General features: G+C 52.2%; 1 long non-coding RNA gene across 1 annotated transcript, besides 13 other annotated features; it reads right to left on the reverse strand.

Moving 5' to 3' along the window:
* Positions 488 to 1,225: an enhancer, noted in NCBI's record as "H3K27ac-H3K4me1 hESC enhancer chr14:77370194-77370931 (GRCh37/hg19 assembly coordinates)". NCBI's record gives its function as "activates a minimal SCP1, AML or CMV promoter by ChIP-STARR-seq in naive H9 embryonic stem cells {active_cell/tissue: H9 hESC(naive)}" and the evidence as "EXISTENCE:reporter gene assay evidence [ECO:0000049][PMID:30033119]".
* Positions 488 to 2,250: a biological region, named in NCBI's record as "BRD4-independent group 4 enhancer GRCh37_chr14:77370757-77371956".
* Positions 1,051 to 2,250: an enhancer, noted in NCBI's record as "BRD4-independent group 4 enhancer chr14:77370757-77371956 (GRCh37/hg19 assembly coordinates)". NCBI's record gives its function as "activates an origin of replication core promoter dependent on BRD2, P300/CBP, MED14 and CDK7 cofactors, and independent of BRD4, by STARR-seq in HCT116 cells {active_cell/tissue: HCT116}" and the evidence as "EXISTENCE:reporter gene assay evidence [ECO:0000049][PMID:35650434]".
* Positions 1,530 to 1,579: an enhancer, noted in NCBI's record as "active region_8773". NCBI's record gives its function as "activates an Ori minimal core promoter by ATAC-STARR-seq in GM12878 lymphoblastoid cells {active_cell/tissue: GM12878}" and the evidence as "EXISTENCE:reporter gene assay evidence [ECO:0000049][PMID:35858748]".
* Positions 5,490 to 5,549: an enhancer, noted in NCBI's record as "active region_8774". NCBI's record gives its function as "activates an Ori minimal core promoter by ATAC-STARR-seq in GM12878 lymphoblastoid cells {active_cell/tissue: GM12878}" and the evidence as "EXISTENCE:reporter gene assay evidence [ECO:0000049][PMID:35858748]".
* Positions 13,823 to 14,117: a silencer, noted in NCBI's record as "tiled region #8364; K562 Repressive DNase unmatched - State 12:CtcfO". NCBI's record gives its function as "represses a minimal TATA promoter and a strong SV40 promoter by Sharpr-MPRA in K562 cells {active_cell/tissue: K562}" and the evidence as "EXISTENCE:reporter gene assay evidence [ECO:0000049][PMID:27701403]".
* Positions 14,935 to 17,991: an enhancer, noted in NCBI's record as "VISTA enhancer hs1466". NCBI's record gives its function as "enhancer in: neural tube[8/8] | hindbrain (rhombencephalon)[8/8] | midbrain (mesencephalon)[8/8] | dorsal root ganglion[7/8] | forebrain[6/8] | limb[8/8] | branchial arch[8/8] | heart[6/8]" and the evidence as "EXISTENCE:transgenic organism evidence [ECO:0001131][PMID:17130149]".
* Positions 15,172 to 15,231: an enhancer, noted in NCBI's record as "active region_8775". NCBI's record gives its function as "activates an Ori minimal core promoter by ATAC-STARR-seq in GM12878 lymphoblastoid cells {active_cell/tissue: GM12878}" and the evidence as "EXISTENCE:reporter gene assay evidence [ECO:0000049][PMID:35858748]".
* Positions 15,610 to 15,760: a silencer, noted in NCBI's record as "fragment chr14:77385316-77385466 (GRCh37/hg19 assembly coordinates)". NCBI's record gives its function as "represses an EF-1alpha promoter that drives an FKBP-Casp9 reporter gene in an ReSE screen in HepG2 liver carcinoma cells {active_cell/tissue: HepG2}" and the evidence as "EXISTENCE:reporter gene assay evidence [ECO:0000049][PMID:32094911]".
* Positions 20,292 to 21,287: an enhancer, noted in NCBI's record as "H3K27ac-H3K4me1 hESC enhancer chr14:77389998-77390993 (GRCh37/hg19 assembly coordinates)". NCBI's record gives its function as "activates a minimal SCP1, AML or CMV promoter by ChIP-STARR-seq in naive H9 embryonic stem cells {active_cell/tissue: H9 hESC(naive)}" and the evidence as "EXISTENCE:reporter gene assay evidence [ECO:0000049][PMID:30033119]".
* Positions 21,288 to 22,282: an enhancer, noted in NCBI's record as "H3K27ac-H3K4me1 hESC enhancer chr14:77390994-77391988 (GRCh37/hg19 assembly coordinates)". NCBI's record gives its function as "activates a minimal SCP1, AML or CMV promoter by ChIP-STARR-seq in naive H9 embryonic stem cells {active_cell/tissue: H9 hESC(naive)}" and the evidence as "EXISTENCE:reporter gene assay evidence [ECO:0000049][PMID:30033119]".
* Positions 21,583 to 21,877: a silencer, noted in NCBI's record as "tiled region #783; K562 Repressive non-DNase unmatched - State 23:Low". NCBI's record gives its function as "represses a minimal TATA promoter and a strong SV40 promoter by Sharpr-MPRA in K562 cells {active_cell/tissue: K562}" and the evidence as "EXISTENCE:reporter gene assay evidence [ECO:0000049][PMID:27701403]".
* Positions 23,391 to 24,347: an enhancer, noted in NCBI's record as "H3K4me1 hESC enhancer chr14:77393097-77394053 (GRCh37/hg19 assembly coordinates)". NCBI's record gives its function as "activates a minimal SCP1, AML or CMV promoter by ChIP-STARR-seq in primed H9 embryonic stem cells {active_cell/tissue: H9 hESC(primed)}" and the evidence as "EXISTENCE:reporter gene assay evidence [ECO:0000049][PMID:30033119]".
* Positions 24,609 to 26,144, reverse strand: LOC124903349 (uncharacterized). Its single transcript, XR_007064274.1, has 2 exons — positions 25,062 to 26,144; positions 24,609 to 24,860 (listed from the first exon to the last, which is right to left on the reverse strand). It is a non-coding gene; the product is annotated as an uncharacterized LOC124903349 (long non-coding RNA).
* Positions 26,145 to 27,724: the final 1,580 nt, after the last annotated feature.

Consider the following 27,724-nt stretch of genomic DNA (forward strand, 5'->3'; position numbering starts at 1 on the left):
TCTCAAGTAGCTGAGACTGTAGGTGTGGGCCACCACGCCCACATCATTTTTTTAAATTTTATGTAGACAGGGAGTCTCACCATGTTGCCCAGGCTGGTCTCAAACTCCTGGCCTCAAGCAATCTTCCCACCTTGGCCTCCCAAAGTGTTAGGATAACAGGTGTGAGCCATTGCACCTGGCCTCTTCTGATGAGATTTTCTCAATCCTTCCAGGCCCATCTCCATTCCTGCTTCCTTCCCAAAGCCAGTCCCGAGTCTTCTCTCTCCTGACCCCTCTCCACCTCCCTCCAGCACTCTGACCTACTATATGCTTATCTTGTAGGTCAAGAGGAAGTAAGAATCTCTGTATCCCACTGAAGAGTGTGCACCAGGTGCAATCAGATAACCAGGGTGTCACAGGGTAGAGGTCTCTGTCTCATGTGTTTTTTTTTTTTTTAAGTTTTTTTTTTAGAGACAAGGTCTCGCTATGTTGTCCAGACTGGACTCAAACTCCTGGCCTCAAGCAATCCTCCAGCCTCGGCCTCCTGAGTATTCGGGACTGCAGGTGCACACCACTGCACCAGGCTTCTGTCTCATTTCTGGTTTGTGGTGTGTGCCCCTTTCTCTTTCACTGCTCAAGGGGTAAAGAAAATTGAGATCTGACTTATGGGGCCAAAATTAGGGGGGGAAGAAAAGCACTGCTGTCTGGCAGCTGGGGTCTCTCCAAACATATTCTCTTTTTTCTCAGAACAGCATGACGAAAAACATAAGCTGAGCCAGAGTAACTGCTGTCTGGCACAGCACAGGGTAGTTGCGTGCGTGCATACATGTGTGTGAATGTGTGAGCGGATAAGGATGGGCATGCTGGAGAGCGAGTGAGAGCGCGTGGGAGGGTACGTGAGGACATGCGTGTGTGTGTACTTGCGCACACAAGCTCTATACACGCGTTTTCTACTTGGGGTTATTCAGGGTCGGCATTCCAGTTGTTGGAAGCAGATCCTCAGCTGAGTGGCCTCTTTTGTAACCAGGGCCGTAGGTCTGAGCATTTCTTTTTGCAGTAGAAATGGGCTCTGTGATGAGTCACACCAGTGGCTGGACAGAAGGGAGACTTGGCTGAAGAAGCAAGTCTTCCTGAGTGGGTCTAGGGCAGCCACGGCCAGACCCTCACACAGAGACAGCCCCAGAAAGAGTGGCCCGTGGCAGGTGTGGGAGGCTCCTGGAGCATACTCACCGTCTGGGAGGGTTACATCTCTGGACATCAAGGTGGGAGCACACAGCTTGGCATGCACCCAGGGGCCTGGGCAGACCTTCACACTCACCTTGGAAGAGATGAGCGAGCAGCCATTCCCGCTGGCCCAGGACATTCACACCATGGGAATTCCCAAGGGCTCTGTCCTAAGAGATCTGATCTGAAATCCAAGCTCAGCCTGAAAAGAAATTGGCCCAAGTCATCCTAGTCCAGTCCCCACTAGGTGCTAGTTCCCAGCCCAGAGTCCAGGACAAGCACTCATTCCTACACTCCTGCTGGGAACCAGGAGAGAGACTTACACACCAGGAGACAGAATGAGTTATGCAAAGTCCCAGGGGCGGCCTTTCAGGGTGGTCAGGATGAACCAGGAACTCGCAAACAAGCTGAAGAAGGCACAGCAGAGAAGCCGATGAAGACTCACACTGAGAAAACACTTAGGGGGATGTGTCACCGGCACCGTGCCAAGCGCTGCATCATCCACCAACTCAGATCTTTGAAGCAATGCCTTAAGGGCACTGGGGCATTAGGCTGCTCAGCGGGCAGATGAGCAAACGGAGGCTCAGAAAGCGGAAGTGACTTTCCTGTTAGCACGCAGCTATTAAGTGCAGAGCCGAGATTCAAACAAAGTCAAGAATGAGGTACAAAATGTCTAGCAATCAGTAGGCTGGTTAAATAAACACTGATTTATTTATGGAATACTGGGCAGCCATTGACATTTCTTGGTAGAAGAATAGTTAATGGCCTGGAAAGATGTTCAAGATATGTAATTGAGCAGAAAAAAAAAAAAAAGCAAGGTACAAAACAGCATGTGCAGAGAGATTATTAAAACATAAAATACAGGCCGAGCACAGTGGCTCCTGCCTGTAATCCCTGCACTTTGGGAGGCCAAGGTGGGTGGATCACCTGAGGTCAAGAGTTCGAGAGCAGCCTGGCCAACACGGTGAAACACCATCTCTACTAAAAATACAAAATTAGCAGGGCATGGTATGCACGCCTGTAATCCCAGCTACTTGGGAGGCTGAAGACAGGAGAATCTCTTGAACTGGAGAAGTGGAGGTTGCAGTCAAGATCGCACCACTGCACTCCAGCCTGGGCAACAGAGCGAGACTCCATCTCAAAAAATAATAATAATAAAAAAACACACACAAAATACAGAGGTATGATTTCCGAGGAAAAAACTCAGAATATCAGCAGGGGCTTTCTCTGGATAATAGGAGTAGGTGTGAGTTCTACTCTATGGGTTTGTTCCTTTTTCTTACAATGATCATTTTGTAACAATGACAAACCTGACTTGGAAGAGTCCAGGCTGTGTTTCAGTTGTGTGGGGAGTGGGGGTGGGGAGGCGGTGTTTTGGTAGGGGGTGATGAGGGGATGATGGCTGGCACTGTGAGGTGATGGCTGAGCAGGTAGGAAGGTGTGGTGAGAAGCAATGCCTTTCCTAGGAACATATCCATCTTTCTTTTTCTTTTCTTTTCTTTTTTTTTTTTTTTTCTGAGATGGGGTTTCACCCTTGTTGCCCAGGCTGGAGTGCAATGGCACGTGATCTCAGCTCACTGCAACCTCTGCCTCCCGGGTTCAAGTGATTCTCCTGCCTCAGCCTCCGAAATAGCTGGGACTACAGCTACACCCAGCTAATTTTTTATTTTTAGTAGAGACAAGGTTTCACCATGTTGGTCAGGCTGGTCTCGAACTCCTGAAATCAAGTGATCCGTCTACCTTAGCCTCCCAAAGTGCTGGGATTACAGGCGTGAGCCACCGCACATGGCACACATCCATCTTTTTTCCTTTTTCATTTGTATCTTTTTTTTTTTTTTTTTTTTTTTTTTGAGACAGAATCTCCCTCTGTCACCCAGGCTGGAGTGCAGTGGTACCATCTCAGCTCACTGCAACCTCTGCCGCCCAGGTTCAAGCAATTCTACTGCCTCAGCCTCCCAAGTAGCTGGGATTATAGGCGCCTGCCACCGTGCCTGGCTAGTTTTTGTAGTTTTAGTAGAGACAGAGTTTCACCATGTTGGCCAGGCTGGTCTTGAACTCCTAACCTCGTGATCCACCCATCTCAGCCTCCCAAAGTGCTGGGAATACAGGAGTGAGCCACTGTGCCAGGCCTTTTTTTTTTTTTTTTCTTTTTTTGAAACAGAATCTCACTCTGTCCCCCAAGCTAGAGTGCAGTGGTGCAGTCACGGCTCACTGTAGTCTTGACCTCCTGGGCTCAAGCAATCCTCCTGCCTCAGCCTCCCAAAGTACTGGGATTATAGGCATGAGCCACCACACTTGATCATCTTTTTCCTAGACCTGACAGCCAGCAGGAGAGGCTGGGTACCCTGGCTGGTTCTCTGCGTGCACACGTGATTGAGTTCTACCAGTCTGGGCCTGTCCTTGCAATGCTGGGGGCAGGTGAGAGTAGGGAGGGGACAGAATTGGACCAGATGTGTCCTAGATATGCACAGAGAAGGTGCAGGTAGCTGGTGACAGGGACTTAAATGTGTGTGTGTGTGTGTGTGTGTGTGCCAAGTTCAGAGGGGAAGGTGCCCTGCTTAAAAATAAGAGTGGGCCAGTTGCAGTGGCTCACACCTGTAATCCCAGCACTTTGGGAGGCCGAGGCAGGCAGATCACTTGAGGCCAGGAGTTCAAAACCATCCTGGCCAATATGGCAAAACCCCGTCTCTACTAAAAAAAAAAAAAAAAAAAAAATTAGCCAGGCATGATGGTGTGTGCCTGAAGTCCCAGCTACTCGGGTGGCTGAGGCACAAGAATCACTTGAACCCAGGAGGTGGAGGTTGCGGTGTGCCAAGACTGCACCGCTGCACTCTAGCCTGGGTGACGGAGCGAGATTTGGTCTCAAAATAAATAAATAAATAAAATAAAAAGAGTGGCAATATAAGTCCAGCCATCTAGAACTGTGGGTCTCAATCCCTTGAGACCCAATGACATTCCCTTTAAAATTGATTTTTAAATATTTTGTAACAGCAACCTGAAAGTAAATGTGTTAATATAACCTACCTACTGACATAATATTTTTAATCGGCCAGGCGCGGTGGCTCACGCCTATAATCCCAGCACTTTGGGAGGCCGAGGTGGGTGGATCACCTAAGTTCAGGAGTTCGAGACCAGCCTAGCCAACATGGTGAAACCCCATCTCTACTAAAAATACAAAAAATTAACCGGGTGTGGTGGTGGGCACCTGTAATCCCAGCTACTCGGGAGGCTGAGGAAGGAGAATCACTTGAACCCATGAAGTGGAGGTTGCAGTGAGCTGAGGTGGCCCCATTGTACTCCAGCCTGGGCAACAAGAGTGAAACTCCATCTAAAAAAAATATATACATACATATACATATATATATATATATATATATTTTAATCATTATTATTATAACTATATCATAAAGGAAAAATATTAAAATGAAACAACAGGTATTTCAATATGTAAATGGTCAGGAATGACTGCATTCCGTATGTAAATGTTTAGGCATGACTGCATGAGAAGGCAACATTTCCACCACCACCAACGCTCATGCGGGCACACACATTTCCAAAATTCTTCCTAGGGGAGATTCAACCCTGAGGACCACTGATTTAAATAATAGCAGGCTGTGGCTCACGCCTGGAATCCCAGCACTTTGGGAGGCTGAGGCGGGCGGATCACGAGGTCAGGAGATCGAGACCGTCTTGGCTAACACAGTGAAACCCCGTCTCTACTAAAAATACAAAAAAAAAAAAAATTAGCCGGGCGTGGTGGCGGGCGCCTGTAGTCCCAGCTACTTGGGAGGCTGAGGCAGGAGAATGGTGTGAATCCGGGAGGCGGAGGTTGCAGTGAGCCGAGATGGCACCACTGCACTCCAGCCTGGGCAACAAAGTGAGACTCTGTCTCAAAAATAAATAAATAAATAAATAACAATAGCTGGCCTATAATGGGTGCTTTCTTTTTTTTTTTTTTTTTTTTTGATACGGAGTCTCGCTCTGTCGCCCAGGCTGGAGTGCAGTAGCGCGATCTCGGCTCACTGCAAGCTCCGCCTCCCAGGTTCAAGCCATTCTCCTGCCTCAGCCTCCCAAGTAGCTGGGACTACAGGCACCCGCCACCATGCCCGGCTAATTTTTTGTATTTTTAGTAGAAACGGGGTTTCACCAGGTTAGCCAGGATGGTCTCGATCTCCTGACCTCATGATCCACCTACCTTGGCCTCCCAAAGTGCTGGGATTACAGGTGTGAGCCACCGTGCCCGACCATAATGGGTGCTTTCTATGGGCCAGTGTTCCAGTGGCAAGGGAACATGAATGGCATGGGTGTAGCAGGAGGCAGGTGGCTTGTGTGGAGAGCATGTGAGGTGGGCCAGTGTGGCCATGCACACATGAAAAGAGAGAAGCTGTGGTCCTGTGGTGAGAAGGAGGAAGCAGCTGCCTTCCCTCTGGGCTCCTCTCTTGACATCACATCCTGCCTTGGAGGAGGAGCCCAATGAAGACAGCATCTAGAGATGATTTGGGTTGAGGATCCCATGTTGATCAGAATTCACCAGGCCTTTCAATGCTCACTTCCTCCCCAGGAGGTGAGCTCGAACTTCGGACCCTCAGATGAATCACAGAGACCACACATGGAGACCCATCTCCCTGTTTTGTAATCTCCATGCATTCGTAGCCAATCTCCCAGCCACACCTTCTCAAGTCCTGATAGCCATTCGCAGTCTCCCCAGCCTCCACTAGCAAAGGAGAGATGAGAGGGCTCCCAGCCCATGGCCCTGAGGAGGGTGAGGACTGGGCCAGACACCTTGGGCTAATCGATAAGGAGCCTCTTGAAATACCCTCGTCACTTCCTGGCTGTGTGCTGAGCCACTCTAGGGGAAGAGGGATTCTCAGACAACCCTTGGGCCAGGCACTTGGATCTTGACTGGAATAATTAGACACAGAGCCAACAATGATGTCATGCCTCTGCAGAAGAAAGAAGGATGACTTTGAGCAAGGTGCTTACCTTGGCCTCAGTCCTCTTGTTTGTCAAGTGAGCTGGGGTGGACCTGACAAGTTTTAACATTCCTGTGCTGCCATTCCAATGTGAAGACAGATGTTCTCTTGGGCAGCCAGTCACAATGGCTCACACCTGTAATCCCAGCACTTTGGGAGGCTGAGGCAGGAGGATCGTTTGAGCCCAGGAGGTTGAGGCTGCAGTGAGCTGTGATGGTGCCACTGCACTCCAGCCTGGGCAAGAACAAGACCCCGTCTCAAAAAAAAGAAAAAGAAGTCCTCCTGGGACTTGAAGTCCCTCTAAGAAGAATATGGCAGTGATGGCTTTGCATAGCCAACTTGCTTCCCCATCCAACTCCCTTTAGTTTCCATGGGGAACTTCTCTCCCTCTGCAGGGGGCCCTACCTGCTTCCAAGAATGTAAGGGTAGGCAGGTGACCTTGGCTGCCCAGCCAGAGGTTCCTCCCTATGTTGATTGATCCTTTAGTGGACATGGCCTCTAAAGGTCCAGTTAAGAGTCTTCCCTGGCCAGGCACGGTGGCTCATGCCTGTAATCCCAGCACTTTGGGAAGCCGACGCAGGCGGATCACGAGGTCAGGAGATCAAGACCATCCTGGCTAACACGGTGAAACCCCGTCTCTCCTAAAAATACAAAAAATTAGCCGGGTGTGGTGGTGGGCCCCTGTAGTCCCAGCTACTCGGGAGGCTGAGGCAGGAGAATGGCTTGAACCCGGGAGGCAGAGCTTGCAGTGAGCCGAGATCACACCACTGCACTCCAGCCTGGGCGACAGAGCAAGACTCCATCTCAAAAAAAAAAAGAGTCTTCCCTAATATATGAAAGACAGAAATTATGTTTCTGGGAATTTATTAGAAGGAAAGATGTGAATTTAAGGCTACTAGCTGTCATCTTTCTGACACAAGAGAAAGCACATGTGCAGAGTGAAGCCAGTACATAGAAGGAGACAAAGCTGAGAGACTAAGGAGATAAAACGCCTATGACATTGTTTGAACCCCTAGATCAAACTGTGCCTGAAGGTGGTGCCCAGTTGAGGGTTAATAAACTCTCTTTTTGCTTAAGCTAGTTGGATTTGGGTTTCTGTAACTTGAAACTGAAACCGTCCTAAGTAATGTAATCTTTCAGCAGCATCTCTCCAAGTTGGGCTGTGAGAGAGGTATTGAGCACATGGAGAGGTAGAATCTGCCAGTTTATACCTATAGTCTAGCCAAAGAAACCCATAGCCCCAGCATATCTCTTCTGCCATGTGCTTTGACAATCTCGTAGTCAGCCTTATAGAGGGGACCTCACCTGGCCGGGTGTGGTGGCTCACTCCTGTAATCCCAGCACACTGGGAGTCTGAGGCAGATGGATCACGAGATCAGGAGTTCAAGACCAGCCTAGCCAAGATGGTGAAACACCATCTCCACTAAAAACTACAAAAATTGGCCAGGCGTGATGGCTCACGCCTGTAAACCCAGCACTTTGGGAGGCCGAGGCAGGTGGATCACGAGATCAGGAGATCGAGACCATCCTGGCTAACATGGTGAAACCCTGTCTCTACTAAAAAATACAAAAAATTAGCCCAGCGTGGTGGCGGGCGCCTGTAGTCCCAGCTACTCGGGAGGCTGAGGCAGGAGAGTGGTGTGAACCCAGGAGGCGGAGCTTGCAGTGAAGCGAGATCGTGCCACTGCACTCCAGCCTGGGTGACAGAGTGAGACTCCATCTCAAAAAAAAAAAAAAACTACAAAAATTAGCCAGGCACAGTGGCAGGCACCTATAATCCCAGCTACTCAGGAGGCTGAGGCAGGAGAATCCCTTGAACCCCGGGTGGCAGAGGTTGCATTGAGCCAAGATCATGCCACTACGCTCTAGCCTGGGTGACAGAGTGAGACTCCGTCTCAAAAAAAAAAAAGAAAGAAAGAAAGGACCTCACCTAACCCAACCCGTGGCCCATGCCAGCATGCACATTTTTCAAGCTCAAATTTGACAGCCTTGAAAAAGAATGTCTTTGTGCCCAGCCACATATTACCCCAGGAAATAGCATGGACTCTGCATTCAATACTTGCCTCCATGATGGGAGATCTGCATCCCCTGGCACTGGGATTACAGGGACCTGGGGCTTAGAATAGCCCATCTGCCCTGTTGATCCTTCTACTACCTCAAGCTGCTGACAGGAGAAACCAGCCCCAGCCACAGGGCCAAGGAAGACTTGGGTCTTAGTGTCACTGGTTGCTATACATGCAGTACCTGAGTTCTTCAATCAGTGTTCCACTCTGCTATGAACTGAATTGTGTCCTCCCAAAATATTTGTATGTTGAAGCCTTTAACCCCAATGTGACTATATTTGGAGATAGGGCCTTTGGGAGGTAATTAAGGTTAAATGAAGTCATAAAGGTGAGGCCCTAATCCAAAAGGATCGGTAGCCTTATAAGAAGGGGAAAAGATACTCTGCTCTTGACATGCACAGAGGAAACAGTGTGGGCAGACAGTGAGGAGGCAGCCATCCACAAGCCAGGAAGGGAGCCCTCACCAGGACCCAATCCTGCTGGCCCCCTGCTCTTGGACTTCCATCCTTTGGAACTGTGAGAAAATAAGTTTCTGTTGTTTAAGCCATGCAGTCTATGATGTTTTGTTATGGTAGCCCAAGCTAAGACACACTCCCCGCATATACTGCCTTCTGAGGGGGTGGGGAAATAATTCTTATCAATGATTCTCAGCAGTGACCATGCGCCTGGCATTCTCCTAAGCACTTTCCATACCTTAGCTCATGGAATCCTCATAACAACCCTGTGAAGTAGGTAGCATTACAATCTTTATACAGGTGAGGAAACTGAGGCACAGAGAGGTTATGGAACCAAGGCCACACTGTAATACTGTAAAACTAGATTCAAACCCCAGCAGTCCTCAATACTGAGGAACTGAGAGAAGCGATAATGAAAAGACCACCCCCCATCACCCAAAAGAATCAGCAGGAAGGAACGATGTGACTGTTCCGCCCTGCATTTAGACACCTGGCAATGCTCTACTGTGAAATGGACTCAGGTTACTACAGTCCACAAGGAAGTGATCTGTCCCCATGTCCCCTCCAGGGAGATGCCCCTTGCATTGTAACTGTGTGACCCTGCCTAAGTCACACCATGAAAAATAGGTGGATGACATGCCAGCTCAAACTCTTCCCATTATTCCTGTAGTTCTAAAAACACATAGGCAATGGCTGGCCACAGTGACTCATGCCTGTAATCCCAGCACCTTAGGAGACCGAGGTGGGCAGATCACTTGAGGTCAGGAGTTCAAGACCAGCCTGGCCAACATGGTGAAACCCCATCTCCAGTAAATATACAAAAAATTAGCCAGGCGACTGCAGCCTGTAATCCCAGTTACTCGGGAGGCTGAGGACGAGAATCGCTTGAACCCAAGAGGCAGAGGTTGCAGTGAGCCGAGATCGAGCCACTGCACACCAGCCTGGGTGACAGAGCAAGACTCCATCTCAAAAAAAAAAAAAAAAAAAAAAGACTACCCTGGTCAATATGGTGAAACCCCGTCTCTACCAAATATATGAAAATTAGCCGGGCATGGTGGTGCATGCCTGTAGTCCCAGCTACTCAGGAGGCTGAGGCAGGAGACTCATCTGAACCCAGGAGGCAGAGGTTGCAGTGAGCCGAGATTGCGCCATTGCACTCCAGCCTGGGTGACAGAGTGAGACTCCATCTCAAAAACCAAACAAAAAGCACACAGGCAAGCTCCTGGGTGACAGCAGTGCTGTCAGGAGTAGTGTGTGGAATCAGTTCACGCGGTGTGTCCCCGGGGTGGGGGAGTGGGGGTGTAGTCCAGGCTCAGGGCCTGGTACAGATTCCAATTTGGCCCTGAGGAGGGCAGCAGAATCTGCTTTGTGCCCACAAATCCCCAGGAGCTGACCCAGGGCTCACCCCCAGGCCCAGTCCCTTCCAGACCTTTCCGGTAGCTTCATCCAACCCTAGTGGCCAAATACCTTGACTTTATGACCTGGACTGGCTCCCCAAAGTCCTTGTCTGATAGGACATTGACTCCTTCCAAGACTCAGCTCCTTGTTTCCAGCAGTCCCCAGTACCTGGGACTCTGGGCTCAGAGGGAAATGGTGGGTTTTAGCCCCCTGGGGGGATGGACTGAGATTGAGTGAGGCTCAGAGGTTAGAACCGAGGGCTCAGCCAGTGTGGGGCTTCTGGGGTCTCCTTGTGATGGCACTCGTGATCCACCAGGTGTCGCTGCGCAGCCAGTGGGATGAGGGGTGGTGGCAGGAGGACCTTCTCCAGCACCCACCCTAGGGACTGGGGAAGTAAAGGCGGGAGGCTGGGGTGGAGCAGAGCAGTGGTCCTATCCCCCTAGCCTCAAGGCCAGCAGAAGCACCCCCGAGAAGGTGCATGTCCTGGTCTATAAGCCTGAGGACAGAGGCGGCCTCCATCAAAGGCCTGAAATGAGTGGAGGGTGATGTGGAAGGACAGATCACACCTTCTCATCCCAGCAAGCCACTGGGTGGGACAGCAGGCACCCCCACCCTTACCACCCACCCCCACACCCCTGTCCAGGAGCTCAGCCCAGCTTCCTGGGGTCCTGCCTGGGGGCCACTCCTTAGCCCCCACCCATAGAAGGTGTTAGTGGGCCAGGTAGACTACACGGCCACCAGGGAGACTTTGGTGTCTCATTAGCTCCAGATCAAGCAAACCTAGTTCAAAGTCAGGCAGCACTGGGAGCTTCCAACTGGCCATTTCCAGCCTAATCTAAAGGCTTGTCACTCAGAAACCAGCAGACCCCACGCCCAACACTGGCTTCCTTCCCATCTCCTCGGGCTGGGAAGGGAGCATGGAAAAAGCGCTTGTTTTTGTCCTCATTGGTTCCAGGCTCTGAATCCTGAAGCCCCGATGCAGGAGAACGTAGACACTGCAGGACCTGGCTGGGCGCGGTGGCTCACACCTGTAATCCCAGCACTTTGGGAGGCCAAGGCAGATGGATCACCTGAGGTCAGGAGTTTGAGACCAGCCTGACCAACATGGTGAAACCCCGTTTCTACTAAAAATACAAAAAATTAGCCAGGCACGGTGGCGGGCGCCTGTAATCCCAACTACTCAGGAGGCTGAGGCAGGAGAATCGCTTGAACCCAGGAGGTGGAGGTTGCAGTGAGCCAAGATTGCACCATTGCACTCCAGCCTGGGCAACAGAGTGAGACTCCAGACTCCGTCTCAAAACAAACAAAACACAAAGACACTGCAGGACTTTCCTCTGGCTTGCTAGGCTTGCTTGCCACTCGCCCAGGCCCCACCCACCTGGGGACTCACCACAGGCTCACCCTGCAGATCCCAGAGGTGGAGTTACAGTTCTGGCATTTCTGGTTCCCCAGGTGGGCCTCAGGGAGGAAAGGTCTGAAAGAGGAGAGGCAAGGAGAGAAGCCAGGGTGGAGCCTGCCCTCCTCCACCTGACACCCCCAACCAGGCCTGGGGCTCGGTGCCTCCAGCTCCAAGTCCTCCCCTCTCCAACAGCCACTTAAAGGCCTCCCTCTGGCTCTTCTCAGAGAAGAAAATCAAAAGAAGGAGAGAGGGAGGAAAGGCAGTAGTTCAGGGCATGGATTCAAATCTGCATGTAGGAGATGGAAAAGCAAGGTAGGAGATGGGCAGAGACACAGGAAGAGCAGGAGATGTAGGGTGTGGCCTTAGCACTTGCTGGGAGGTAGGGGTGGGACAACTGAGTGAGGAGCTGGCTTAGAGAGCAGACTGTGGAGTTTAGTCCTGATGGTGGTTTCTGAAAGTGTCATGGGGTTGGTGGATGCATGTAACCAAACAATTCTGTTAGCCTAACTCACCTGCTCTCCACTAGCCACCAATGCACAAATACAAATTGATCACCTATTAGGGGCTGCACTGTGCCAGGCAATATGAGGGACACGCTACAAAACATCCTGGTGGGCTGGGCGCGGTGGCTTACGCCTGTAATCCCCACACTTTGGGAGGCCAAGGCAGGCGAATCATTTGAGATCAGGAGTTCAAGACCAGCCTGGCGAGCATGGTGAAACCCCGTCTCTACTAAAAATACAAAAATTAGCCAGGCGTGGTGGTGCACACCTGTTGTCCCAGCTACTTGGGAGGCTGAGGCAAGAGAATCGCTTGAACCCGGGAGGCGGAGGTTGCAGTGAGCCGAGATCATGCCATTGCACTCCAGCCTGGGCGACAGAGTGAGACTCCGTTTTAAAAAAAAATCCTGGCCAGGCGCGGTGGCTCACGCCTGTAATCCCAGCACTTTGGGAGGCCAGTGCGAGCAGATCACGAGGTCAGCAGATCAAGACCACGGTGAAACCCCGTCTCTACTAAAAATACAAAAAATTAGCAGGACGCGGTGGCGGGCACCTGTAATCCCAGCTACTTGGGACGCTGAGGCAGGAGAATGGCGTGAACACAGGAGGTGGAGCTTGCAGTGAGCCAAGATCGTGCCACTGCACTCCAGCCTGGGCAACAGAGGGAGACTCCGTCTCAAAAGAAAAAAAAAAACAAAAACAATAAAAATGCAAGTCTGTTGGAAGCCCTGCCCAGTTCCATAGTGCATCTGTGTGACTCTGTTCAGGATTTTGCACCCATAGGCGCAGAATCTCACGTGTGTGCACATGTGCTTGTGACCAGGCAAATCGGTTGCATCTTTAATGTGCTTGGGAGTCCTGGAAGAGAGCCGTTTCTTAGGAGTGTTGCATGTCAGAAAAGGAAAGGAACTGAAGAAAGCTGTTTCTTAAGATTGTTGCATGTCAGAAAAGCAAAGGAACTGAGGGGCCCCACAGGCCTCTTATTGTACAGAAAGGGAGAAGATAAGGTCCAAGGGGTTGAATCACATGCTCTGGTCACTCAGTGAGAGAACACCTTAATAAAATTTGCCACGAGGCTTGTCTTGGCTGATATGTGAGTTCCCAGAGGTCACAGGCAGAAGCGCCGTGGAAATGGAATATCGGCACGGGAACTTAGGTTTCTCCTCCGCCTGTGGCAGCGCTGGAGAAGATGGTGGCACCTGGTGCCATGACTGCGTGCATGATGATCATCAGGGAGCAATGATGGGAAGTGTCTAAGGGTTAGGCTCTGGAGACAAATTTCTTTTTCTTTTTCTTTTTTTTTTTTTTGAGATGGAGTCTCGCACTGTCGCCCGAGCTGGTGTGCAGTGGTGCAATCTCAACTCACTGCAACCTCCGCCTCCCGGCTTCAAGCGATTCTCCTGCCTCAGCCTCCCAAGCAGCTGGGATTACAGGCACCTGCCACCACGCCCAGCTAATTTTTTGTATTTTTAGTAGAGACAGGGTTCCACTGTATTGGCCAGGCTGGTCTCAAACTCCTGACCTCGTGATCCCCCCGCCTCGGCCTCCCAAAGTGCTAGGATTACAGGCATGAGCCACCACGCCCAGCCTGGAGACAAATTTCTACTGACCAGCTCCTTCTTAACATCGCTGCACCTCAGTTTTCCCACGTGGAAAATACAGGTCATGGTACTTCCTCCTTCAGAGGGTGGTTGTAAGAATCCAATGGATGGATACATGCAACAACTTAGCAAGGTGCCTGGCACGCACTAAAAGCTCAACAAAGATGTGTCCTTATGATCATTCTCTGCTTGCATCCTCACCAGTGGATCCCAGCAAGCCCACTTCAGCTCAGAGACCTCTGCTAGGGCCCAGAGCCCATCCTTTGGAGATTCCCATCTCACAGGCTTTGTGGTTACTGACTGACTTTGTAATTCCCAAACCTGACCAGCAGGCAGTTCATATGGAAGTTCTTGCCACCTCCTGGTGAAAACAAGGACTGCGGGCAAATTGCTTGGTGTCCTGCTTTGTCCTGAGGCTGGAGCAAGGGGCATGGGTGGGCTGGGAGCCTTGGGCAAGAGGCTGATGCGTCGTGAGTGGTGAGGCTGGTGTCCGTGGGACACAGTGCTGTGTTCTCTCCCGCCTTGAGACTGTTTACGATTTGCCAGACTCTTGTGGTGCTATCCAAAATAATGCATCCAGTAGAGCGTTCCTGCCTTGGGGAGCTTGCATTAGGCTGCTGACATTCCCACAAAGAGCTATTTTTTTGTGCCACTTACTTTTATTTTTGTCATTTGCTTTACTCTCTTAATTTCCACTCTACCTCCCAACCCCCAACCCCTGTTCCCACCCATATCATTGCCTGTTAAAAGCAGCGGGAATTCTGAAGCCAGCCTTGTCCTCATTTAGGATGAGGACCTGAGCACAGAGGGATATTTTTCTTGTGGCAGCTGTGAGCTTTGCCAACCCCACTGAATTCAGGCTGGCCACAGCTCATCCCATGAGGCCAGGTATAGAGCCTTTCCTAGCAACAGTTGCAGAATCACAGCAGAGAGCGCTCCTGGGATCTGGCCCCCAGGGTTGGTCCATTTAAAGAAGCCACACTTGAGCCTGAGCCTAGCAGAGCTAGTGAGAGAAGAGTGTTGGCTCCATGCTGGCACGGGGCCTGCCTGTCCCTCCACCCCTTCAAGAACCCGTGACAAACAACCTTGCCTGGTGCCCAAGTGCCTGCCAAGCCCTGTCATATTAAAACCCTGGAAGACTCGGCAAGGAGTCCAATTTCAGCCCAGCAGGTGGGGAAACCAAGGCAATAAGAGCCCAATGTGACCAAGGTCACACACAGCTCTGGCTACAAGGCCCCGGAGGCCGGGCATCCAGGGCTGCAGGCTAAGCACCGAGCACCCTCACCCTCACCCCAGCCAAGGCTCAGCTGGGCACAGAGGAGGAACAAACATCCCCCACGTCATTCAACAGCAGAGCCCAGAGAAAGGCCCAGCACTTCCCCTCCATGAATGCTATTGCTGGTCCCCTCCCTCCCCTGGCGGGAGGGGGGGATACAGAGGCACTGAGACTCCCTGGAGCCTCTTTGGCAAGTCATTTCCAAGCCAGGCAGCCTGATCTCAAGCAGCTCCCAGTTGAGTGCCTGAAACACCAGACATCAAAAACCTGGCAGGCCTGGGGAGAAGGGAAGATTAGATCATTACAGCAGAATGAAGCAAACCAAAAACCCAGAGAAGGCAGGAGGGACAGAGGCCAAGAATGTTTCAAGGCAACCTGAAACTCCTTCAGATGAGAGCGGCCCGTACAGTGGCAGCTTCCCCTACTGCCAGGAAAGCCTGGCGTGTCTCAGCCCCTTTTTGGGTGGAGTAGGGAGTGTACTGGTCCATACACGTGCGCTCGGAGGTGATGGGAACAGGAAGCATGTTCTGGTCTTCCATGTGCACACACATTTGGACACATAAACGTGCATGCACAGGTGTCCAGGCCAGGCGTGTAAGCCCCCAGGAGTGCATGCGTGTGTTTGCGTGCAGTCTACAAACATGTTTTCACAAAGCTCAAGGAGAAGCAATCAGTCATCTCCAAGGAATCTTAGCAACAGCCATCCCCAGAAAAGGCTCCTGCCAGCTGGGGCAGCGATGAGTCAGCAGAGGCGTCGTGGGGGAGGCGGGAGGCGAGGCAGCCTCAGCCCTGGAGCCTGAGCCGGCCTCTCCCTTCTCCTGGGAAGGCCTCCAGACCCGGCCTGGCCGCCACGCCTGGGTCACTGCTTTGGCACTGATGTCCGAGAACACATTCCTGGAACTGGCCAGCACAGGCGGCTGGAGGGTTTTTCCCTCCTCCTCTCTCTCCCTCTCACCCTCCTGTCCGGGCCCCACACCCGCCCTTTTATTTTTCCTTCTTGCTGCAAAACCAAAACACCGTGTTCACGAGTTCAGGCGCTGTAGCCAAGTGGCAGGAGCTGGCAGAGCAATTGGGAAACAGGAGCTGCCTGGCCCAAGCAGGCCAGGGGATGAGGACACCTCTGGCCAGCCACAGAGAGGGCCCTGCTAGGGCTTGCTGAGCCCTGGTTAAGTACTGCAGGGCAAAAATGTCATCGCCTGGGGCCCCAGGGAACCGGAGTTCAAGGTGGCAGCTCCCAGAGAAATGGCCTGTGTCTCTCTGCCCCAGTAGCAGAGCCCGAGGTCACTAGCAGAGGATGGCGGCTGGAAGGTGACCAAAGGAGCAGAGAACCACAATTATTAATCATGAATCCATTGCCTGAGTGCATACACAGTCTTCAGAGCCACCTCAGGGTAGAATTATGTCCTTATACAGACAGGGAGGTGAAGGTGTGGGCAGGTGAAGGAATTTGGCACAAGGTCACGCAGCTAGCTTTTAGCCACGGAGCTTGATGGAATTAATCCAGCTTCGAGCTGACTTGGAGGCTTTAACTGATGGGCCACACTGGCTTTTCTTCCTGGGCTGCAGCTACACAGTATGCCAGGATCGCAGCACTTACAAAAAATAAAATAAAATAAAAACAACAAAAAAAGAGCGAGTGCTGTCTCCTATCTCTCCCCCACCCGCATGCAAACAGATCTGGGGGAAGAGCCATCTGCAACCTCAGCAGCGGAGGTGGTGGCAGCGGCGTGGCAGGCGGCGGTGGCAGGGGCAGTAACAGCCCAGCCCGAATCCCTGGCCTCTTTACTGGAGGCAGGAAATGAATAAAAGCTAAATGAGTTTGAAAATGCCAGGAGGCAGTGTTTATCCCCTTCCCCCACCCCCTCCCCCTGGCAAGGACCGCGTATAGTTACAGTTTAATCTTGGAAATGCCAGACAGCTGTTCCCCGTTGCTAAGAGACTGGCCCACATTATGCAGATGTCAGGGGCCTCAAATGTCTGCCGGAAATTACAGATCATGTTGGAAGAGCAGAGGGGCCTTCTCTTGACTGGGGAAGCGCAGTGGGAGACTCCTTGGGTGGATGGCAGAAATAAGGGGCCCACCCTTTCCGGGTCTCTTCCGAGGCTCTGAGGCTCCAGCCTGTCCCTCCTCCCAGCTCCCCGATGCCTTGGCTCCCACCCCAGGTTCCGGCCTCCATCCTTTGGCAACTGTGCCAATGGCCATGTCCACCCCCCACCTCCAGTGCTCCTTCTGGGACATCTTTCTTCAGTCCAGTGTCCCTGTCTGTCTTCCAGTCTTCCCAGCTGCTGCGATGCCACTGAGCTGGCTGGGTCCCAGCTGGGAGGAGGAGCAGACCCCACTCGAGGAGGGTAGGATTCCACTCCATAAGCTCTCCTCACCTGGAGCGGAAAATGGGACACACTCACCACACTCACACCCTCCCTGTCATCCCCCACCCCATGGAAAGCCAAAGGAGGGCTATCACCATGGCAACTGCAGGCTACACGAGCTGCTGCATCACTGGTCCCTGGGGAAGGGGAACTGCCATCTGGGCAGGGGGTTGGGGGAGGAGGAGGGGGAAGTCCTTTTCCAAACTGGAGCTCTAACATGAACCCTGATGGAAGGTGACGGGGGAATTCACCAGGGCTCTGGGCTGGGAGGGAAGCAGCTCAGGCTGGAGAGGGGCATGGGCAGGCTGCAGGGTGGTGCCCGGGGAGTCCATGGCAATGCATACGGTCTTCAGGATGACCCCCAGGTACCGTGGGGGTGGGGGAGGGTAGGCTGCGGCCCGGTGTGGAGTGGGTGCTGTGTGCCTACTGATTCCCTGAGAGCTCACAAGGTGCTTTGAGGACAGAAACTTTGTCACTACCTATGCATCCGGGTGGTATCTGCTCTCCCTGTTGCTAACTATGTGACCTTGGCCTTCTCCAGCTGGGGAGCCCAGCCATATAAAATGAAGTCAGGTGGACTTTACATGCATGGGAAGTGGCTTTAACGATAAGAATGGCGTGTGTGTGTGTGTGTGTGTGTGTGTGCATGTGTGTGTGTTTACCCATATATGAAAGTGCTTTGGAGAAAGGTTCTTGGAAGCCCCATGAAAACGGGGCCTTATTACCATCCATCTGGTCTTCCCAGAAGATGCTGATAAGGCTGCTGGCAGGGGAACACCATTTCAGAGCTTTCTTCCCAGGTACCTGGGGCCTTCTTCCCTGCAAAAAGACACCACCCTCAAACGCTGCCTTACTGACCTTGTGTCCTGACTCCTCGGGTCACCTCTCCCTCCCACCATTCCTACAGCAACTGAGATGCTGGATGGGGAAATTGAGGTACAGAGACTTCCAAGACTTGCCCAAGCCATCATAAGCCATTAGCTAATCCCATACTCTCCTGCCTCAGCCCTTGCCTTGGGTTCAAACCCCAGGAGGACCACGACCTCTGGCCCTGGGAGATGAGAGCTAGACACCAGCGTTCCTCCTCCTATTAGCTATGTTAGCTTGGGCAAATAACCAAACCTCCTTAACTCTCATTTATGCTTCTGGAAACTGGAATGCCATGACCTATTAGGGTTGCTGTGAAGGATTAAATGAGATACAACATAAAACTTGCTGAGCTCCTGCTAAGCTCTCAATACATTTGAGTTCTTTTATTAAGGAAAAGCTGGTTCCTGGGCACTAACTCCTTAGAAAGGTGACAGGCTTCAGCAGCTGGGGGACAAGGAGATTGTTCAGGCTGCATGCACACCCACTCCTCACTCCTCCAGCACAGCGACCAGTTTCTGCCTCTTTGGAAGGTTCCAGAAGGGTTATCCAGGACAGTGCAACTGGAAGAACTCAGGGCAGGTACCAGCCACAAAGTCCTGGGAGGTGGGGACGGGGCTTTTATCAGGGCCTCAGGGAAGACTCCCTCCCAGGAAAGGAGTGGACAGTAGAGGACGGTGGAGGATGGATGTCAGAGGGTGGTGGAGGATGAATGGCAGAGGGCGATGGAAGATGGACGGTGGAGGACAGTGGAGGATGAAGGGTGGAGGATGGTGGAGGATGGAGGGTGGAGGACGGTGGAGGATGGAGGGTGGAGGATGGTGGAGGATGGAGGGTGGAGGATGAAGGATGGAGGATGGAGGATGGAGGGTGGAAGGTGGAGGGTGGAGGATGGAGAGTGGAGGATGGTGGAGGGTGGAGGATGGAGAGTGGAGGATGGTGGAGGATGGAGGGTGGAGGATGGTAGAGGATGGACAGTGGAGGATGATGGAGGACAGCGGAGGATGGACAGTGGAGGATGGTACCCCCCACTCGATAGAGTAGAAACTGCTGAGCCAGAAAGGATTTGTCTGTGGGGCAGGAGAGCCCCAAGGCTGAGTCATGACTGGCTCCAGGTTCATTCAGCCCCTCAGAGCCCACTGAGGCCTCTGCGTGTGGCGGGAGAAAGCAGCGCTCAATCTCTGCCTTTGTTCTCCTCTCTCTCCCCAGGCCTCTCCCCACCCTCTCATCTCCCTTCCCCCAGCTCGCTCTCCTTCTCTCGCTCTCTTTCTCTCGCCCTCCTCCTCTTTCTCGCACTCTCCCACCAACGTCGGCTCCCTCCCCCTTCGTCCTTCCCTTGAAGCTGATTTCTTGCTTTCTCATCCTTTCTTCTGCCTCGGAGCTCACAACCACACAGGGCTGGCTTCCCTCCCCTCCTCCCTGTCCTCCCCTCTCCATCCGGCTGTCTTTCCCTCCCCTTCTCCATTTCCTCCCTCCTCCTTCTTCCCTCCTATTTCTCCTTTCTCCCCCAACCTTCTCACTCTCTCTCCCTCAATCTCTCTCTTCTTCCTTAAAGGAGACAGTTCAAGCCCCCCAAAAAGCAAAACCAGGTCAAGATCATCCATCAAGCCCTCACCAGGCCTGGTCTGGGAAGTTGGGGTCTAGAGACCAAGGCCAGAGCTAAGCAGAAAATCAGAGTGGGCTTGGGGAGAGTTTGTTGGAGTCCAGCCCACCTCGTCCAACCCACCTCAACCAGCACCTGGAACCCTTTCCCCACCTGGGTCACCTGCTTCTCACAAACACCCGAGCTTGGCTTCCAGCTCCCTGCTGCATAAGCTTCCAGTAAGCCAGGAGATGTCTGAGTTCCTGACCCTCCCTGAGCATTCGGCTTACCTCCTTATTCTTTGCCCTGGTGCAGGGAATCAAGGCAAAAAGAAGGCAAGAAAGAAATCAGAAGCAATGATGACCTGCTTTGAACTGGAAGGAAAATGGCTGGGGGAGGATTTGTACCATCTATGAGGTGCACATCATGGTAGAAAAAACACAGCTTTAAAACCAGACAGGCTGAGTTTGAACCTTGAACCTGCTTCTTACTAGCCAACAACCTTGAGCAAGACGCTCGCTGCGCCGCCGTGTCCACCTCTGTAAAATGGGGATAATGAAAACAGCACCGCCCTCCTGGGGCTGTTGTGAAGACGCAGTAAGAAAACGCATCGAAGTTCTTGGCACACAGCAGCTGCGCCTGAGCCCTAGTTCCTCCCTCAGAGAAAGGAAGGCTTCTTGCAGGAGATGGGGTTTGTTCTGAGTGTTGAAGGATGGATAATAATAGTAATCATACTTCTATTTTTGTTGACACCAGGCGCTATGCTAAGCACTTTGAATACATTGTTTCATTTAATCCCCCAGCAACTCTATGAGGCAGGTTTTTTTTTTTTCCCTGTCCCTGTTTCACGGAATAAGCTGGTGAAGTTCAGAAAGGCTAGGCAATTTACCCCAAGTCACACAGCCAAATGGAGGAGAAAATTCAGAACTCTTCTGCTATCGCTTGGACTGGGGGTGGGACTGGGAGTGGAGGACACAGCAAAAGTGACAGCAGGCAAGACCAAGAGCAGGGCCTAAACCAGGCGTGAGCCAGGACCAGCAAGGGACTGGGTGTGGGTCTCAGGGAAATTCTGAGGCCATGGCAAGCCCGTCTCTCCTTAGACTCCGCCTTCCTGCTTCCTGCGAGCCCTCGGACTCTGGCCGGCCTTGCTGTTAAACCTCGGTGGGGAGGGGGAGAAGGGGGTTCACGTGTTCATCTCTGCAGCAGTGGGACCCCCAGTGCTGCCCACCCCCTTCCCACACAGGTGCCCTGTAATCCAGATAATCCCTGCAGCTCCGTCCTGTCCCTTGTATGGCAAAAATGACCTCCTTGGTTTCTTGCCGCCTAGTGTTATGTCACAGGGATAATGGCTTCTTCTCTGGGGTGGGGGGTAGTCAGGACAGTGCTTAGGGATTCTTGCCTGAGATTACAAACGGGGTTGGGGAAAGTGGGTGGTTGGCGGTGGGACTGTGGGAGGCGAGTATCTTGTGGGAAAGAAGGTGGCCTGGCCCCCAAACAGTTTTTGGTGGAAAGAGATGAGCTGGGAGGACTTTAGCCAAACAGGTGTAGATGCCCCACCTGCCTATCACATCCCCCATCACCCCCCAACAAGCCATCTCACATTACACCGTGTATTGCTTTCAAATAGAACTCCACAGTTTCCATGGCAACTCACCCACGTGGTCGCTGCCTTAGAGGCTGGGGGATGGGGGGAGGGAAGGGCAGCTGACAAGAGGCACCAGCCTCCCAGAGGTGAGGGCAGAGTCAAGCTGGAGCCCGCCCTCTCTGCTGCCCACCCCCCGTTGCCCTGGCAGAGTCCCACCCGCCCAGCTCCCTGTGGCTGCCGCCCTCCCTTCACCCTCATCTCCAGGGCTCTCAGCTGAGGCTGCACAAAGCCCTAGGGAAAGAGTAGGTGGAGCTCCAGGACAAAGAGGCTGCCAGATCACTGCCCCCAGATGTGCCCTTGACCTGGGCCAGTCTGTGTCACTGTCGTGGGGCAGGGTCTCCTTGCAACTCTGGGCTCTTCTCGGAGAGGCCAGGGACGATCCTGCCTGCCCGGGAAGCACACCTTTGGGCGTGTCTAGTCTCCCCCACCTGTGAAATGGGGTCGGCACCCGGAACTGGGGTTGGGATTCTTGTTCTGGCTGATTGGGAGCTCTGTGACCTCGGGCATGGAACTTAACCTTTCTGAGGCTGTGTCTTCATCCTCACAAAAGGGATGGGGACATCTCCTCTCACGGGTGATGAGAGAAGCAAATGAGATGACATTCAGGAAAGTGCTTTATGAAAGGGAAAAAAAAGCATATAAAAGAGATAAAAGCAGAGACTCTTCTAGTGAAATCGGAGGACACTCGGATGGCGTCCACCCTTGGCCTCCCGTCTGGTCCAGGCCCAGCTCTACTGCATAGAACCCCGCAGTTCAGAAAGCCTTGTGATTAAAAAAAAGAAATGGGGGCGGGCACGGTGGCTCACGCCTGTAATCCCACCACTTTGAGAGGACAAGGCGGGTGGATCATAAGGTTAGGAGTTCGAAACCAGCCTGGCCAGCATGGTAGAACCCTGTCTCTACTAAAAATACAAAAATTAGCTGGGCATGGTGGTGCATGCCTACAGTCCCAATCTACTCAGGAGGCTGAGGGGAGAATCACTTGAACCTGGGAAGAGGAGGTTGTGGTGAGCCAAGATCACGCCACTGCACTCCCTCCAGCCTTTGCAACAGAGCGAGACTCCTTCAAAAAAAAAAAAAAAAAAGATTTGTTAAGGCCCCCACCTTCCTGTCCTGTGTATTTCCTGATCTTTCCTGACTTGACTCCTACCAAGAGCATCTCCTTATGGCCAAATATCTAGTCAAGGACCAGTGCGCCAGGAGCACTTCTTGTTGTCCCATGCCCACCAAACTGAGTTTGAGGCCTGCCCAACTGGTGGGGGCTCACCCAGCTTTGTCCCCAGGGAGGCAGCCAGAACATTGCAGGCTGAGCTTAGCAGAAGGGTGGGGCAAAGGGAGAGGAAGAAAGAGGCCAAGACATTTGCGGGACCGCCTGTCCCAGCTAAAGGGGCTTGCACCTGCCCGCCTGCCTCTCTCTCCCTCCTGGCTCCACACACCAGCTCATGAAAAGCACAGCCCCCAGGCCAGGCGCAGTGGTTCACGCCTGTAATCCCAGAGCTTTGGGAGGCCGAGGCGGGTGTATCACGAGGTCAGGAGATCGAGACCATCCTGGCCAACATGGTGAAACCCTGTCTCTAATAAAAATACAAAAATTAGCCAGGCATGGTGGCGGGTGTCTGAAGTCCCAGCTACTCGGGAGGCTGAGGCAGGAGAATCGCTTGAACCCGGGAGGCAGAGGTTGCAGTGAGCCGAGATCCCGCCACTGTACTTCAGCCTGGCGACAGAGTGAGAGACTCCGTCTCAAAAAAAAGAAAAAAGAAAAAAGAAAAGAAAAGCCCCACAGACCCAGCGTGACCCTGCCTTTCTCCCAGGGGCCTTGGGTTTCCCTGTGCTGATTCTTCCTGCCCTGGGACCTCCAGGGGCCGCCAGCCTCCCTCCCCAGCACCCACTCTCATCCATCAAGGGGGGGTGGTCTCTGAGGCCCCCTTTGGCTCTAAAACACTGACTCGGCAATTCTCTGCAGCAGCAGAAGCCGCAGCATCCTCTGCAAAGCCCAGCCCCTTCCTCTCTGTCACCTCACTCTGCAGTGCCCCCGAATCCCAGAGAGTGTGGCTTTCATTATTTTTTCTTTATTTTTATCAAAGGATATATATATATATTTTTTTTTTTTTTTTTTTTTTTTGGTCAAAAATTGTGTCTCCCCTGAGACAGTGCAGCCTCTGAGCAGGCTCCCCTTGTTTCCATGGTGACAGCAGCTGGCTCACATGTGTGGTTGCTTTGGAAACGAGTCTGGTTCTCCTCCCTCCTCTGCCTCTCCCTTCCTTCCTCAGCTGCCTGAGCACACCCTCCTCCTCCTTCACACTACTTGGGGTGCAAAGAAAGGGCCATGAGAGGTCCCAAGCCTCATGGGAACAAACCAGGTCCTGGCTCCTGTGACCTGGCCAGGTGACCAGACCCTTCTCTGGGCCTGACTTCTGCAGAGGCTCTCCTTCCACCCACCAGAGTGAGGCTTTGCTGACATGAGGCAGGGGCACTAACAGCCTTGAGCACTCTAGACAAGGACCCAAATGAATCTCGCTTCTGCCAAGGGCGGGGCTGCTTCTCCCCTCCCCAGGGGCACAGTCCCAGCATGCAGCCCACCCAGGCCTGGGCCCCTGGCACCCTCTCATGGTATACTAAGCCCTTTTCTGCCAAAGCATAGATGTGTAGAAGAAAAGGAAGGATTCTTGGGGAGGAAATCAATGGCAATAGACACAGAGAGAGAGGAGAAGGGACTTCCGTAGAGAGCCCTGTCTTGTTTGTCTGTAGATGCTATATAGATTTATGTACAATTTTTCCCACTGACATGTAGGCACCAGAAAGGGAGGAACCCTGCCTGTCTTGTCACGGAGGAGTCATCAGTGTCTGCCAGAGGAATGAATGGGTAGAGAGAAAAAAATAACACATTCCAAAATGTGAACAGTGATTGTTTTCTAGGTGGTGACTCTTGTTATAGCCTTTTTGCTTCTTTTCTTTCTGGGACGGAGTCTCCCTCTGTCGCCCAGGCTGGAGTGCAGTGGTGCGATCTCAGCTCACTGCAGCCTCAACCTCCTGGGTTCAGGTGACCCTCCCACCTCAGCCTCCCGAGTAGCTGGGACTACAGGCGTGTGCCACCACACCTGGCTAATTTTTGTATTTTTATTAGAGACAGAGTTTCACCATGTTGGCCAGGCTGGTCTGGAACTCCTGGCCTCAAGGGATCCACCCGCCTCCAACCCCTAAAGTGCTGGGATTACAGGTGTACGCCACCACACCTGGCCCTTGCTACTTTTCTTTCATGAGCATATATTAAATGTATAAAAAGAATAACAACATGTTTATTTATTTGATCTTAGAGAGAAAAATGAGGGGAACTTGGAAGAGGCCAGAATGGATGGAAGTATAGGCTCTTCTCCTTCCACGCTGGGGCAGGCATGTGACTATCCATTCCGATCTTCTGTCACTCAATGGGGCCCAGAAAGGTGCAGTGATTCTCCAGCTGTCACACAGGGAGTTGTAGTATTTGGAATCCGTCCAGTGAAAGAGGAGCCGGAGATCTGAAGTCGGAACCTGAGAGAAACGCTATCAACCCAGCACACTGCATATGCTGTTTATTGAGATGATAATGGTGTTGGTGGCCTAAGGACACATACCAGTAGCCCAGGCAGGCTTCAGCCTAATTCTCCCAACCGAAGGTAGATGCTGGTGTCCCCTTCCCCACTCCCCTCCTCCACCCTGTCTCCCAGGCCTCAGATTGAGCATTTGACTCACTCATGAGAAAATACAGCAGTCCCTAGAGAACTTGAAAGCTGCACTTGGCTGACAGAGCCAAACGGGAAAGTTCCAGCTCCTCTCCTGCTCTGCAGGGCAAGCAAAAGGCATTCTCAAGGTCAAAGAAAACATCATGCAGATTCTTGTCCTCAGCCAAGGGCACACTTCTCTGTTTTCTTCCCCAACCTGCAGCCAACACACAAGGAGTAGACCCAGCCTCCTGGGGAAACCTGAGTGGAGGAGAGCCAGGTCTGGCATGGCTGGGAGGAGTGTGCATCCTGCACTGTGGGAGCAAAGGGGCTCTCGAGATCCTCCTAATGATCCCACCATCCCCCTCTTTGATGGACAGACAGACAACAGGGGTGGCAAGGGCTTGCCCTGGCTCATCCCCAGCCAGCTCATCCTGCCAGCTATAGAGGCAGAGGGAAAAATGGAGAACAAAGAGGGGAGACACAGGAGGGAAGGAAAGGAGAAAGGAGGGAACCGTTCCTGACTCCCCCTGCCACCAGGGAGAGGGGCTTGCCTTGCTCCTCTGTGCTCCTCAGCCACAAGGCCACTGCGAATAGGCAGGGATGGGCAGAAGGTCAAGGATGGAGGGAGGCCAAAGATGGGACGGTGGGCATGGAATGGGGAGGGTTGGGTGATTTGTTGATGCCGTGTTGCATTCAGTGCTTGGTAACAAAAACAAAGCTGAAAACTTAAGTTAGTACTTTTACCATCACAAAACCTTCACAGCAAGAAAACCATCATATTCACAGGGTTATGATTTCCCTGGTACTACCTAGTCTGAGCCGTGGCCCTGTGGCAAGACTGTCTTTTTGCTGCCTCCTCACCAATGCAGAGCAGGCATAGCTCTAGGCAACCACCCCACTTGTCTTCCCTATGTTGGAGCATAACTAAGGGTCAGATGGCCTGACAATGAGCAAGGAGTTGTGTCCGCTCTAAAGTCTCAGAGGACTTTCTTCTACAACACCTCTGATTAAAGGCTCATCCAGTCTCTGCTTGAATACCTCCTATGACAGGGATCTCATCATCTTACAAGTATCTCATTAAAACCCAATCAGGGCCAGGCTCGGTGGCTCACACCTGTAATCCCAGCACTTTGGGAGGCCGAGGTGGGCGGATCATGAGGTCAGGAGATCCAGACCATCCTGGCTAACACGGTGAAACCCCGTCTCTACTAAAAATACAAAAAATTAGCCGAGTATGGTGGCGCATGCCTGTAATCCCAGCTACTGAGGAGGCTGAGGCAGGAGAATCGCTTGAACCCAGGAGGCGGAGGTTGCAGTGAGCTGAGATTGCGCCACTGCACTCCAGCCTGGGAGACAGAGCAAGACTCCGTCTCAAAAACAAAACAAAACAAAACAAAACAAAGCAATTGGGTTTGAATTTCCTTCTGCTAATATTTGTGCCACCCTTTTCATGAAAAAAAAAATGTGTGCCCCCCATTATCTTTATAGAGAAGATCAATGACAAATAGCATCTGGGTATATCTGTCATTCTTGAGTGCCAAATTAGCCCTTACTCCCCCAGGCAGGTCTTCCTGTTTCTAGAAAACTTTTCAAGCTCCCTACTTGCCCTTCCCCCCACCTTCAAAAAAATTGTTTTGCGGTTGGCCCTTTCTGCAAGCCTCAGCTCCGTGCAGGCTGCAGCGTGCCGGGTTCTATTCTTGCTGTCTCTGCTGCTCCTTTATTCCTGCCCTTGGTTCTGTGCCCTTCCTCCAGCTTTGAATGTGTCCTTCCCCAGTCTGAGCTCATCTGCCAGCCTGCGATGATCCACTTTGTCTCTCAGGCTCCTCCCTCTCTCCTTTGCGTCAAGACCTTTCGTGATTACACTGTCAGAAGCTCATTTTCAAGGGCCTCCCAGGTCGGCTCCACTCTTTCTTTCAAGCCTCACCTGTAGGATCTGCCTGCCCTTTCCCTCCGTGTTTTTTTTGTTTGTTTGTTTGTTTGTTTTTGTTGTTGTTGTTTTTGAGACAGAGTCTTGCTCTGTCACCCAGGCTGGAGTGCAATGGTGTGATCTCGGCTCACTGCAACCTCCACCTCCTGGGTTCAAGTGATTCTCCTGCCTCAGCCTCCCTAGTAGCTGGGATTACAGGTGCCCGCCACCATGCCGGGCTAATTTTTGTATTTTTATTAGAGACGGGTTTCGCCATGTTGGCCAGGCTGGTCTTGAACTCCTGACCTCACGTGATCCGCCTGCCTCAGCCGCCCAAACTGCTGGGATTACAGGCGTGAGCCACTGCGGCTGGCCCCTCCGTGTTTTGAATGTTACCTGACTCAGGTGGATGTGCTACCATTCTCCTTGCAGAGGCCTGGTTTCTTTGAAGATGGGGAGAGTGTATTGGTTTCCTGGGCTGCCATAACAAATGACCACAAACCGGGTGTCTTAAAACAACAGACATTTATTCTCTCACAGTTCTGGAAGCCAGAAGTCTGAAATCAAGGTGTTGGCAGAGCCCTCTCTCTCTCTGAAGGCTCTGGGGAAAAATCCTTCCTTGCCTCTCCTAGCTTCTGCTGTTTGCTGGCAATCTTGGGTGTTCCATCACCCCACCTCCGCCTCCATCTTCACAAAGCCTTCCCCATGTATTTGTGTCCAAGTTTCCTTCCGCTTATAAGGATACCAGTCTTGGCTGGGCACGGTGGCTCACGGCTATAATCCCA

Source organism: Homo sapiens, chromosome 14, assembly GCF_000001405.40.
Source record: "Homo sapiens chromosome 14, GRCh38.p14 Primary Assembly".
NCBI classification, from domain to species: domain Eukaryota; kingdom Metazoa; phylum Chordata; class Mammalia; order Primates; family Hominidae; genus Homo; species Homo sapiens.